At 39.9% G+C, this 13,753-nt stretch overlaps 1 protein-coding gene across 6 annotated transcripts in view; it reads right to left on the bottom strand.

Moving 5' to 3' along the window:
- The window catches only part of VPS45 (vacuolar protein sorting 45 homolog), a 77,948-nt gene that overhangs the window by 30,500 nt on the left and 33,695 nt on the right, over nt 1–13,753 (bottom strand). For all 6 annotated transcript variants that reach the window (NR_103998.2, XM_024452791.2, NM_001279353.2 and 3 more), the window contains one exon: nt 4,203–4,334. Coding sequence is in view for 4 of the 6 variants with exons in the window: in XM_024452791.2 (XP_024308559.1) it covers nt 4,203–4,334 (132 nt within the window). In the remaining 2 variants the exon portion in view is untranslated. Of the gene's footprint in view, nt 1–4,202; nt 4,335–13,753 lie in introns of those variants that run through there.

Raw genomic sequence — 13,753 nt, 5'->3', positions numbered from 1 at the left:
TTGTGATCTTCCCACCTCAGCCTCCCAAGTAGCTGGGACCACAGACACATGCTACCATGCCCAGCTAATTTTTGTGTTTTTTTGTAGAGACAAAGTTTCACCATGTTGCCCAGCCTGAACTCCTTGAACTCCTCTTGAATTCCTGGGCTCAAGCAATCCGCCTGCCTTGGCCTCCCAAAGTGCTGGGATTACAGGTGTGAGCCACCATGCCTAGTCCATGCCCAGCTAATTTTACCTTTTTTTTTTTTTTAGAAACAGAGTCACTCTATATTGCTCAGGTTTGGTCTTAAACTTCTGAGCTCAAATGATCCTCCCGCCATGGCCTCCTAAACTACTGGCCAATAATTTTTTTTTTTTTTTTTGAGATGGTGTTTTGCTCTGTTGCCCAGGCTGGAGTGCAGTGACTCGATCTTGGCTCACTGCAACCTCCACCTCCCCGGTTCAAGCAATTCTCCAGCCTCCTGAGTAGCTGGGATTACAGGCATGTGCCACCACGCCTGGCTAATTGTTGCATTTTTCAGGAGAGATGGGATTTCACCATGTTGGCCAGGCTGGTCTTGAATTCCTGACCTCAAGTGATCTGCCCACCTCGGCCTCCCAAAGCGCTGGGAGTACAGGCATGGGATTCAGGCAAGAGTGTTCTTTAGTTAGAAGAAAATTGGATTGAAGAAAGAGCCAGGAGGAAAGAAACAAAGTGGAGGGGGAAAAGGGGGCAAATATGTGAGTAAATATAGATAAACATTAACTACTGAAAATAATGATTAATTTGGGAATTTAAAAAGGTAAAACCAAAACACTGGACAATGATAGTGTACAAATTGGGAGGAAAGTGATTACAGTTAAAACATTTTAATATTCTTATATTATTTGTGAGAAAGGCAGAAATAGATTAAGTGTAGCCTTTATTTCTTCTTCTTCTTCTTCTTTTTTTCTTTGAGACAGAGTCTCTCTCTGTCACCCAGGCTGGAATGCAGTGGCATGATTTCGGCTCACTGCAACCTCTACCTCCCAGGTTCAAGCATTCTCCTGCCTCAGCCTCCTGAGTAGCTGGGACTACAGGCGCCTGCCACCACGCCTGGCTAATTTTTGTATTTTTAGTAGAGACGGGGTTTCACCATGTTGGCCAGGCTGGTCTCAAACTCCTGACCTCAAATGATCTACCCACCTTGGCCTCCCAAAGTGCTGGGATTACAGGTGGGAGCCACCACGCCTGGCTTATTTCTTCTTTTATTCAAAAAATATCTTTTAAGAACAGGTAAAACTAATCTACGGTGACAGAAGTCATAATAATGAATACTTTGCACGGATTTGTGACAAGGAGGGAGCATGAGGAATAAGAAAGGCTGCTGGGGGTGCTGGCAATGTGCTATTTCTTGATCATTACACTCAGAGGTCATCTCATAGATATATTCACTTTGCAATGTTTTACTGAGCTGTTTATCATTTATATACTTTTCCGTACATAATGAAATAACTGTGTGTAAGTGTATGTATGTGGTATCACAGAAAGATATTTGGTCTTTGTCCCCATTCTTGGCACAGAGCTCCTAATTCCCTAAGAATTTTCTGAGTACTGAGGGTGACGGGAGTGTCTTTTGTTTCAATGAGATGACTCTTGGTGGGCCTCTAGATAGCTTCAGGATGAGGGCTAGTTGCCGGAAAGGCCAAGCCTTAATAAGAAACTTTGAATTTTCAGTCCCACCCCTGAACCTCCAGGGTGGGGAAAACAGTTGGAGCCTGAATCAATCACCAGGGGCTAATGATTTAATCAAGCATGCCCACATAACGAAACCTCCATAAAAACCCCTACCCAATAGTGTTCGAAGAGTTTGTGGGTTGGTGAACGTATCAAGGTGCTGGGGTGGGGTGGGTGTTCCTAGAGCAGGCATGGAGACTCCACACCCCACCCCTATACCTTGCCCTATGCATCTCTTACATTTGGCTGTTCCTGAGTTGTATCCTTTGTAATAACTGGCAAATGCAGTAAAGTGGTTTCCTGAGTTGTGTGAACTGTTCTAGTAAATTATCAAACCTGAGGAAGGGGTCATGGGAACCCCTGATTTACAACCAGTCACTCCCGAAATACGGGTGGTCTGGAACTTGTGACTGGCATCTGAAGTAGGGGTGGTCTTGTGGGGTTAAGCCCTTTTAACTTTGAGATGAGATGCTAACTCCAGGTAGATCGTGTCAGAATTGAATCAAATTGCTAAATATCCAGTTGGTGTCTGGAGAATTGGAAAAATGGTGTTGGGAAAGACATGGTGTATTTGGTGTCAAGAAGAAAAAAGCCCCTCACTGTAATATTTCTCACTGTAATATTTCTGTAGAAGTTATAAAAGGAAACCCTACAGCACAGTTTACACAAAACTAAAATTCTGATAGACTGTAAAGATATCATGTTAAATATGTATCCTAAAAATAATTTTTAAAATGCATCTTAGTATTTATATAATCTTGTGTAGGAAATAACTTTCTAGGCATGACACCAAAGGCAGAAATCACAGGTAACTGTGACCATATAAAATTAAAGTAATAACAACAAAACTTTTATACAACAAAACACTGTGAATAGTATAAAACAAAAATATAGAGGAAAAAGATTTGCAAAATAAATACTAGACAAATGGCCAATAACCTTATTTATATAAATAGAATTAAAAAAATTATTAAGAAAAAAAGGAATACTTCAATTGTGGAATGGGCAAAGAATATGAACTAGCAATTCACAAAAGAAATATATAAATAGCCAGTGAGTTCTGGACACTAACAAAGAGGTTAGTAATTGGCCCAAGTTTACAAAAATAGTAAGAGGGAAATCAGGATTCAAACCCAAGAAATCTTATCCAGTAAATATTTGTTTAATGAATGAATGATTATATATTTAACACTAGAAGACGTTTACATCAGACTGCAAAATGAAAGTTAAAACACAGAATGTACGATGAGATCCCTTTCTGCCCACACACTCATACAAACGTCTATACAGGCTTAAAAAAAGGCCTGAAAACACTAAAACGTAACAGTGGTTAGATTATGGAAACGTTTTTTCTCCTTGTACTTTCTGAATTAAAAATATTCAGAATATGCATATATTACTTCCATAATAAAGGAGAAAAGTTATATTAAAAACCAAATAATCATACAAAATTAAAAAGTATACAAATACTTTTAATGACTCCCAATTATCTAGAATACATGGCTCAGCATGGATCTCTCAGGGTCCCCAATCTTTAGATTCAACAATCATGTCACGGTTCTCCAGTCTTTTCCTCTTCTACCTTTAGCTGCCAAATTAATCCTCCTAAAACACCGTGAGTTTCTTGTAATCACTACTTTCAATAATTCCCCATTTTCTATGTAAAAAAGTAGAAATTCCCAAGCCTGGCACTCAAGGCCTTCCACAATGATGGCATTCAATCATCCTTTCACTTTATTACACACATTCCAGCTAGTCAACTATTTGCTGTTCTTTGTGTATGTATGTTGCCTACAGCTTTTATAACTTGTTCACGTGGTTAACTCTACCTAGAATGTGCTCTCCCTCCATATGTCCATTTTCACCCAAGGCTCAGCTAATATACTATCTTCTATGTGAAACATTTGCTAATTTCCCTTAGTCACTCTGAGAATCCTTGGCCCTTTTATCTGCCTCTCTGGGCACTTGTTTTCTTATTTTTAAATGTTCTTTCCTAATAGACAATAACTTGAGGTAGGATCTTTAGATTATTCATCTTTGTATTCTTACTGAATACTTGCTAAGTGAATAAAGTTAATCAACAAAATAGAAAAACTCACAGACTTCAATACCATTATGTTTAAGTATTTTCAAAGTCTAAGCTGTGGCTATTAGGTTTCTCCCTCTTTAAAAAAAACCCAATTTTTAATTTTTCCCCCTTCCTTATGAATTAGGTCCAAGGGTTTCTCCTTTTTTGAACACAGGAAATACAAATTGTTAACAGTGTAAGATGGTTCTTACTTTCTAGGTCTTTGACCTAATAAAGAGATTTATGAACTTAACGAACTTAACTACTATAGATCCTTTCTCTCACAAATTCTTAAATTATTCTGGAGCTGCAAACACCAGAGAATTTCAGTCTACAGCAGTTTGGTGAGTATTGACCAAATTTTTCCAACATAAAGGGAATTTAAGCTTTATCCTCTGGGAAAGAGGACACAGTTGTAGAATGAATGTTCTCTTTTACCTTTTCGTGTTGTGCACTGTGGTGCCTCCCAGGACAATCCTCACTCCAGGAGTGGTGCGGTTCAGGTTATAAACTGTTAGAGCCTCTTCATAGGTGGCTCCTCCAATTACAAACACAATGATATCCTGAGGTCTGCAATAATGAAGAATGAGATATTATCACAGGATAAGAAAAAAAAAGGACTGTGACTTACATACACAGAGTTTTAATTTCTAAATCTTTTTTTTTGGTGGAGGAAGCAGAATTAAAGCAGAATAGAATAAAAGGTTTAAAAAAAGTTTCAATTATCTGAAATTGGCAGGAAACAGAGCAGGAAATGCTGAATAGTGATTTGCTTTCTGTTTATGAGCGGATGTCTTATAATTTCTGTGCTGTGGATTTCAGAATAGCACAATAGTGTTTGCTGGAACCAAATGTAGAAATATTCTTTTATATTCAAGAGGGTGCAGAGTGCCTTACCATGACATGATATCAATACGGCAGAATTTTATGTTTGTATTAATACTACACATCTCCTTTCATGTATAAGCCTTTGTCAAATACTTAATACAGTGCTATTACAATGGCCTCTGTACAAGGACCTCAAAGCATTTTTGAAAGAACTAGCATATTTAGATGTCCCCAAAACATGGAAACTAGAAACATTTAGTATTTTGAGTATAAAAAAAAGAATGGGACACAAAAATTAATGGTGCTTCTAGGAACTCTATCTTTTCTTGAAATCTTTTTTCTGAATCCTTTGATAAACCAAGAAAAAGAAACCATGGAAACCAAAAAAACCATGAGTGTAGCTGATACTGGACATGCGAACACAGCTCAGTCACTAGCTTCACTTGGGTAGCACTGTGTTGTTTTACTCTGTTTCCTGTTTCAATCCGTATCAAAATGGCTTCATAACAAAAGTGAATGTTCCTATTAGCTCCTTCCTTAAATATCACCAAGAAGGAGATCAAATTATTTTCAAAACCATTACTAGGCAAATAATTTTGTTAAATCACTCATTGGACACTAAAACTACATCAATCAGAAGCATCCGTTTTGAATGTTATTGCACAAAACTAACCAGAAACATCTTTAATCAAGGAATATACATGCTTATGTATAAATCATGAAAAAAACCCCAACCCTACATTTCCTTCCTGCTTGTCTCTCTCTCTCTCTTTCTAAAATACCTTGAAAGAATTAACTGAGAGAGTATTTGTTCTTGTGGGACTTCACTGAAACAGAATCAGCTATTGTGGCTATTTTAAAATGTTCAGATAGTCTCTAAATTGCAGAGATTTCCCAGTAAAATTTATACAAGGGTGGGGATGATGGCTCATGCCTATATGCATTTTGGGAGGCCGAGGAAGGCGGATCACTTGAGGTCAGGAGTTTGAAACCAGCCTGGCCAACATGGTGAAACCCAGGCTCTACTAAAAATACAAAATTAGCTGGGCGTAGTGCTAGCTGCCCGTAATCCCAGCTACTCGGGAGGCTGAGGCAGGAGAATTGCTTGAATCTGGGAGGTGAAAGTTGCAGTGAGCCAAGATCGTGCCACCATACTCCAGCCTGGGCAACAGAGACTCCATCTCCAAAAACAAACAAACAAAAACACCCCAAAAAAACCTTCCCCCTAAAAACAGTTATACAAGCTACCAATGATGAAGAGGGTGTTATGGTAAAGTGTCAATTACGATAAGGGTCCCCAAACCCAGGCTGAGGACCAATACCAGTCCGTGGTCTGTTAGGAACTGGGCGGGGGCACAGCAGGAGGTGAGCAGTGAGTATTAGGGCCTGAGTTCTGCCTCCTCTTAGATCCGTGGAGGCGTTAGATTCTCATAGGAGTGCAAATCCTACTGTGAACTACGCATGGGAGGGATCTAGGTTGTGTGTTCCTTATGAAACTATTGCCTGATGATGGGTGAGGTAGAACAGTTTTATATTACTTGACTTATCAGCAACATATGACTGAGGTGATCACTTGCTCCTCCTGGATATACCTTCTTCAATTGGTTTCCAGAAAATTTCATATTTGATTTTTTCCCTTGCTACTTTTCAGTATCCTTTTATGGTCCCACTTCATCTCTGTGACCTCTTAATTGTGGAATACTCAGAGCCCAGACATTGATCCTCCTTTCTTCTTAATCTAAACTCATTCTCTCCATCTGTTCCATTCAGTATAGTGACCACTTGTCACTTATGGTTATTTAAATTTAAATTAACCAAAATAAAATTAAATATTTAATTCCCCAGTAGCACTAGCCACATTTCAAGTGCTCAACAGCTACACTGACAAGTGGTTACATTACTAGTTACCAGAGAAACAGCACATTTCCTTCCCTGGATAATCACACCATTTTTTGGTTGTAAATACATCTGCTGATGGTTCCCAAATCTCCATCTCCAGCCCAGACCTTTCTTCTAAACTCCAGACTTAAATACCTGTTTACTTGACATTTCCATTTGGATGTTTAATTATTTCTCAATTCAACACATTTTAAATCCCCAATCTTCCCTAAGTCTGTTCTACCTATAGCCTTCCCTATCTTACTTGATGGTCACTTTAGCCTTCTAGTTGCTTGGGCCAAAAACTTTGGACTCATCCTAACTCTTCCTTTGGAGCAGAAGTGAAGTTGGGGACATAGTGAGAAAAAGAGGGAAAAGCATAAGCCAGCTCACACACCTCAAATCTCACAGGTCATGGGGTTCTCACAGGTTACTATGATCAAATTTGCTTTTTTTTTGAGACGGAGTCTTGCTCTTGTCACCCAGGCTGGAGTGCAGTGGTGCAATGTCAGCTCACTGCAACCTCTGCCTCCTGGGTTCAAACGATTCTCCTGCCTCAGCCTCCTAAGTAGCTGGGAATACAGGCGTGCGCCACCATGCCAGACTACTTTTTGTATTTTTAATAGAGACGAGGTTTCACCATGTTGGCCAGGCAGGGGGTCTTGAACTCCTGACCTCAGGTGATCTGCCAGCCTTCGCCTCCCAAAGTGCTAGGATTACAGGTGTGAGCCACCATGCCCAGCCAAATTTGCTTTTTTGAAGGATAGTTTTGGCAGCTGTGCAAGAATGAATTGGGTGTAACTGTTGGGAAAAGTTGGAGAATAAAAGGCTAGTGTAAGACTTCTGGGAAGATATGATGAAACCTAGAACTAAAGACATCCCAGAAAGGGTGAAGAGGAGGTACTGGATGTCCAGTCACAAAAAAATACATATTCTTCAGTATTTGGTCAATGACTGAATGTGGAGGATAGGGGTAAAGGGGGAGTCCATAACTTTGTTTTCTGGTTTTGGTAACTAGGTGTAGTGGTTTAGGTTTGAGAAAAAGGACATTTACTGTGCATAAGACAAAAACATGCTGTGTTTTAGATACCTGTGGAATATTCTAATGGAGATGCCCACTAGACATCTGTATATTCAGGTCTAGTGCTTTCCCCGAATATGTGGTAGCTGAAGCCATGGGAATAGATGAGTTTTATCTAGGGAGATCATGTAGAATGAGAAGAAAACCAAAAGACAGATTTTTTGCTGAGTCCCTAATAACTAAAAAACAAGTAAAAAGAGTAGCCAGCATTAGCAACTGAGAAGGACATTTTCAGAAAGGTAGGAGGAGAATCAGAAGGGAGAGGTTGAGGCCCAACTGAGTCTCAAGAAGAAAAGAATGGTTAATAGTGTGAAATGCAGCAGTGGGGAAAATAAGGTGGGAATTGAGAGTCCCCTGGATTTACTACTGTGATTTTGCAAGAAATGTTTTAGTGTGTTGTAGTGGAGTAAGGAGCCAGGCTACATGGATTGAAGAATTGAGAAACAGAAGACAGTGACTGTGGGCTTCTTTATCCAAAAAGCTTGGCTATGAAGGGAAGGACATAACTTACAGGAAAATCTAGGACCAAAGGCTTTAAATTTATTATTTAACAAAAGAAAATTGAGTATGATTATAGCCTGTGGAAAAGAAGTCGGCAGAGAAGAAGCTGAAAATAATGGGGTGATGGGGGGAGCCAGAGCCAGAGTGAGAGCAAGAGCGAGAGCAAGAGAGAGAAAATAACAAAGGCTTCAGAAGAGCCGGTAGGAAGGTAAAACCAGAGTGGTGGCATCTGACTTTCTGACTAGCGTAAGATGATATCTCAGTGTGGTTTTCATTTGCATTTCTCTGATGATCAGTAATGTTGAGCATTTTTTCAAGCGTTTTTTGGCCACTTGTAATTCTTTTGAGAAATGTCTTTTCATGTCGTTTGCCCAGTTTTTAATGGGGTTGTTTTTACTTATTGCGTTCCTTGTAGGATGTGGATGGTAGTCCTTTGTTGGAGGCATTATTTGTAGGTTGTCTGTTTATTCTGTTGGTTATTTCTTTTGCTGTGCAGAAGCCCTTTAGTTTAATTAAGTCCTACTTGTCTACTTTTGTTTTTGTTGCATTTGCTTTTGGGATCTTTGTCATAAATTCTTTGCCTAGGCCAATGTCCAGAAGAGTTTTTCCTAGGTTTTCATCTAGGACTTTCACAGTTTCAGGTCCCACATCTAGGCCTTTAATCCATCTTGAGTTAATTTTTGTATATGGTTAAGAGATAGGGGTCCAATTTCATTTTTCTGCATATGGCTGGCCAATTTTCCCAGCATAATTTATCGAGTGGGGTGTTCTTTCCCCATTGTTTATTTTTATCGACTTTATTGAAGATCAGTTGGTTGTAGGTATGTGGCTTTATTTCTGGGTTCTCTATTCTGTTCCATTGATCTATGTGTCTGTTTTTGTACCAGTACCATGCTGTTTTAGTTACTGTAGCCTTATAATATAATTTGAAGTCAGGCAATGTGACTCTGGATTTGTTTTTTGCTTAGGAGCACCTTGGCTATTCAGGCTTTCTTCTGGTTCCATATCAACTTTAGGATTCTTTTTCCTAATTCTGTGAAGAATGATGTTGGTAAATTGATAGGAATTGTGTTGAATCTGTAGATTGCATTGGGTAATATGATCATTTTAATATTGATTCTTCCAATCCATAAGCATGGGATGTTTTTCCATTTGTTTGTGTCATCTATGATTTCTTTCATCAATGTTAAGTAGTTCTCCTTGTAGAGATCTTTCACCTCCTTGGTTAAATATATTCCTAAGTATTTTGTGTGTCTCTTGTAAATGGGACTGAGCTCTTACTTTGATTCTCAGCTTGAATGTTATTGGTGCCTAAAAATGTTACTCATTTTTGTATGTTGATTTTGTATCCTGAGACTTTAATGAAATCACTTATCAAGTCTAGGAATCTTCTAGAGGGATCTTTAGGGTTTTCTAAGTATATAATCCTATTGAATGCGAACAGAGATAATTTGACTTCTTTTCCAATTTGGATGTCTTATATTTCTTTCTATTGCCTGATTGCTCTGGGTAGGGCTTTCAGTATGTTGAATAGGACCAGTGAGAGTGGACATCTTTGTCTTATTCCAGTTCTTAGGGGAAATGCTTCCAACTTTTCCCCATTCAGTATGATGTTAGCTGTGGGTTTGTCATATATGGCTCTTACTATTTTGGTTTATTAAAAAGTCAAAAAACAACAGATGTTGGCATGGATGCGGAGAAAAGGGAATGCTCATATACTGTTGGTTGGAATGTAAATTAGTTCAACCTCTGTGGAAAACATTATGGAACTAGCTCAAAGAACTAAAAATAGAACTAGCAATTAAGCCACAGGGAGGGGAGCAAATGCACAGGGTACATCCTTGCTCATGTCCCCTCTTCCTCCTTAAAAACAACAACGAAAAAAGGCTGGGCCTGGTGGCTTATGCCTGTAATTCCAGCACTTTGGGAGGCCAAGGCAGGTGGATCGCTTGAGCCAAGGAGCTTGAGATCCACCTGGCAACATTGTGAGACCCCAACTCTGCCAAAAAATTTTTAAAAATTAGCCCAGCGTGGTGGCTTTCCCCTATAGTCTCAGCTACTTGGTGAGGCTGGGGGCAGGGAGGGGGCACTGAGATGGGAGGATCACTTGAGCCTGGGAAGGCTGCAGTGAGCTGTGACTGCCACTACACTCCATCCAGCACTCCATTCAACAGAATGAGATGCTGTCTCAAGAAAGGAAAAACAAAAAACAAAAACAACTTACCATTTGACCCAGAAATCCCACTACTGGGTATCTACTCAAAGGAAAGGAAATCATCATATAAAAAGAGACACTTGCACTCATGTTTATCCCAGCACTATATACAATAGCAAAGCTATGGAACCAACTTAAGTATCCACCAATAGTGGACTGAATAAAGAAAATGTGGTATATATACACCATGGAATACTAAGCAGGCATAAAAAAGAATGATATCATGTCCTTTGCAGCAACATGGATGGAGCAAGAGGCCATTATCTGAAGCAGAAAAATCAAATATAGCATATTCTCACTTATAAATGGGAGTTAAACATGGCAGGTACACATGGACATAAGGATGAAGAGAAGAGACTATGGGGGACTCCAAAAGAGGGGAAGAAGGAAGGGAGATGACTGAAAAATTACCCAGATAGTTACAGACTATGTAAAAAGCTGGAAGATAAGAGGCAGTTAAAGTGTTCGGAAACAATAAAATACTCAAGGCTGAAAGGACATTATATTCACCAAAAAACATGAAAAATGTAGGAAAGTAATATATATATTTGCTCAAGATAAACTGCATAATGGATTACTCAAATAAACACATTTTATTTACTTAAGTAAATAAATGAATTGCAGATTATTTTATTAAGAAGAAGGGAGGGAATCTTTCCTTTGCAGGGGTACAGTGACCATCTTGGTGACTAATGGGAAGAATCAGATAGTTAACACCTTTGTTTTGAGCTTCTGATCTGATAAGTCAATTTAAAAAGCGATTGAGCAGACAAATGAGAGCATCATGGAAAATGATGTTGCTTCACCATAGCTATCCTCTGACCATCACCTGCCTGGACAATATATCTGTCTCTTATGGAAAAGAAAGGCAAGAACTGGGAAGGAACAAATTCAAGTGGGCTTTTAGCATAGTAAGAGAACACTGTCCTTCAGTCTGATCATTTCAGGGTGGCAGGGTATTTTTGTACTACTGGAGAGGAAAGAAAATGTCACGGATGGTAAACTGTGGGTGTAGGTTATATACATGTAAGGACAAAACCTAGATACAGGGATAGGCTCTTAGAGCTTGGCTCAATTGTGTACCTCGCAAAGATGACTATGTCACATTTGGTTATGAAAACATTAATAAATGTTTTCCTGAGCCTCCTCCTACTACTTATTCAAGCTGACTTAAGGAAGAACGTCTATGAAAAACAATGTTTAAATACCCCTGACATTTTTCCTTTTCATTCCTTTTCCCAGTAAATTTTAAAAGTAGATGTTCTGATGAGGCCAATGGTAAAACACATAGCAAATCTTTTCCATATGATGGTTGAAGCTAAGTGGAATACACAAGTTCAATTCTTTGTATGCATCTTCCTGTGCTTTGTAATTCACCATAGCAACCAAAGCATTAATTAATGCAGACAGCAAACATTAGAAAACAGCAGCTAGCTCATGCTGTATAGAGATATACAAGGATAATCAAGGATAATATCTTATTTTGTTAAAAATAAAAAAAAATATATAGGATATCTGGAAATCATTATTTCTTTTTAAAAATTTTTAACTTAAGTTTGGGGGTACATGTGAAGGTTTGTTACATAAGCATGTGTCACGGCGGTTTGTCATACATATTATTACATCACCCAGTTATTAAGCTCAGGACCCAATAGTTATCTTTTCTGTTCCTCTCCCTCCTTTGACCCTTCCTGCTCAAGTAGACCCCAGTGTCTGCTGTTTCCTTCTGTGTTCCTGAGTTCTTATCATTTAGCTCCAACTTGTAAGTGAGAACATGCAGTATTTGGTTTTCTCTTCCTGCATTAGTTTACTAAGGGTGATAGCCTCCAGCTCCATCCATGTTCCCACAAAAGGCATAATCTCATTTTTTTATGGCTGCCTAACATTCCATGGTGTATATGTACATTTTCCTTATCCAGTCTGTCATTGGTGGGCATTTAGGTTGATTCCGTGTCTTAACTATTGTGAAAAGTGCTGCAATGAACATTTGTGTGCACGTGTCTTTTTTTTTTTTTGAGACAGAGTTTCGTTCATTGCCCAGGCTGGAATGCAAGGGCACAATCTTGGGTCACCACAACCTCTGCCTCCCAGGTTCAAGCAGTCCTCCTGCCTCAGCCTCCCAAGCAGCTGAGATTACAGGCATGCACCAACATGCTCCGCTAATTTTGTATTTTTAGTAGAGATGAGGTTTCATTATGTTGGTCAGGCTGGTCTTGAACTCCTGACCTCAGATGATCCACCCACTTCGGCCTCCCGAAGTGCTGGGATTACAGGCATGAGCCACCCAACCTGGCCATGCATGTGTTTGTTTTTTTTTTTTTTTTTTTGACGGAGTCTCACTCTGTCGCCCAGGCTGGAGTGCAGTGGAGCAATCTCGGCTCATCACAATCTCCACCTCCCGGGTTCAAGTGATTCTGCTGCCTTAGCCTCCCGAGTAGCTGGGATTACAGGCACCTGCCACCATGCCTGGCTAATTTTTTTATTTTTTAGTAGAGACGAGGTTTCACCATGTTGGCCAGGCTGGTCTCGAACTACTGACCTCAGGTGATCCACCTGCCTCAGCCTCCCAAAGTGCTGGGATTACAGGCGTGAGCCACCGTGTCCAGCTGCATGTGTTTTTATGGTAGAATGAGTTATATTCCTCTGGGTATATACCCAGTAATGGGATTGCTAGGTCAAATGGTAGTTCTGTTTTTAAATCTTTGAGGAACTGCCATACTGCTTTCCACAATGGTTGAACTAATTTACACTCCCACCAACAGCATACAAGTGTTCCCTTTTCTCTGCAGCCTCGCCAGGTTCTGTTATTTTTGACTTTTTTTTTTTTCAAGGTGGAGTCTTGCTCTGTCGCCCAGAGCTGGAGTGCAATGATGCGATCTCAGCTCACTGCAACCTTTGCCTCCCGGGTTCAAGCCATTCTCCTGCCTCTGCCTCCCGAGTAGCTGAGATTACAGGCACGCGCCACCAGGCCTGGCTAATTTTTGTATTTTTAGTAGAGAAGGGGTTTCACCATGTTGGCCAGGCTGGTCTCGAACTCCTGATCTTGTGATCCGCCCACCTCGGCCTCCCAAAGTGCTGGGATTACAGGCGTGAACCACCATGCCCAGCCTATTTTTTGACTTTTTAGTAATAGCCATTCTGACTGGTGTTGAGATGGTATCTCACCATAGTTTTGATTTGCATTTCTCTAATGATCAGTGATACTGAGTTTTTTTTCATATGCTTGTTGGCTGCACGTATGTCTTCTTTTGAGAAGTAGCTGTTCATGTCCTTTGCCCACTTTTTTTTTTTTTTGCGACAGGGTTTTGCTCTTGTTGCCCAGGCTGGTGTGCAATGGCACAATCTCGGCTCACAGCAACCTCCATCTCCCCAGGTTCAAGTGATTCTCCTGCCTCAGCCTCCCGTGGCACAATTACAGGTGCCAGCCACCACTCGTGGCTAATTTTTTGTATTTTTAGTAGAGACAGGGTTTCACCATGTTGACTA

The sequence above is a fragment of the Homo sapiens genome, chromosome 1, assembly GCF_000001405.40.
Source record: "Homo sapiens chromosome 1, GRCh38.p14 Primary Assembly".
Classification (NCBI taxonomy): domain Eukaryota; kingdom Metazoa; phylum Chordata; class Mammalia; order Primates; family Hominidae; genus Homo; species Homo sapiens.
This window is presented reverse-complemented; position numbering and strand designations above follow the sequence as displayed.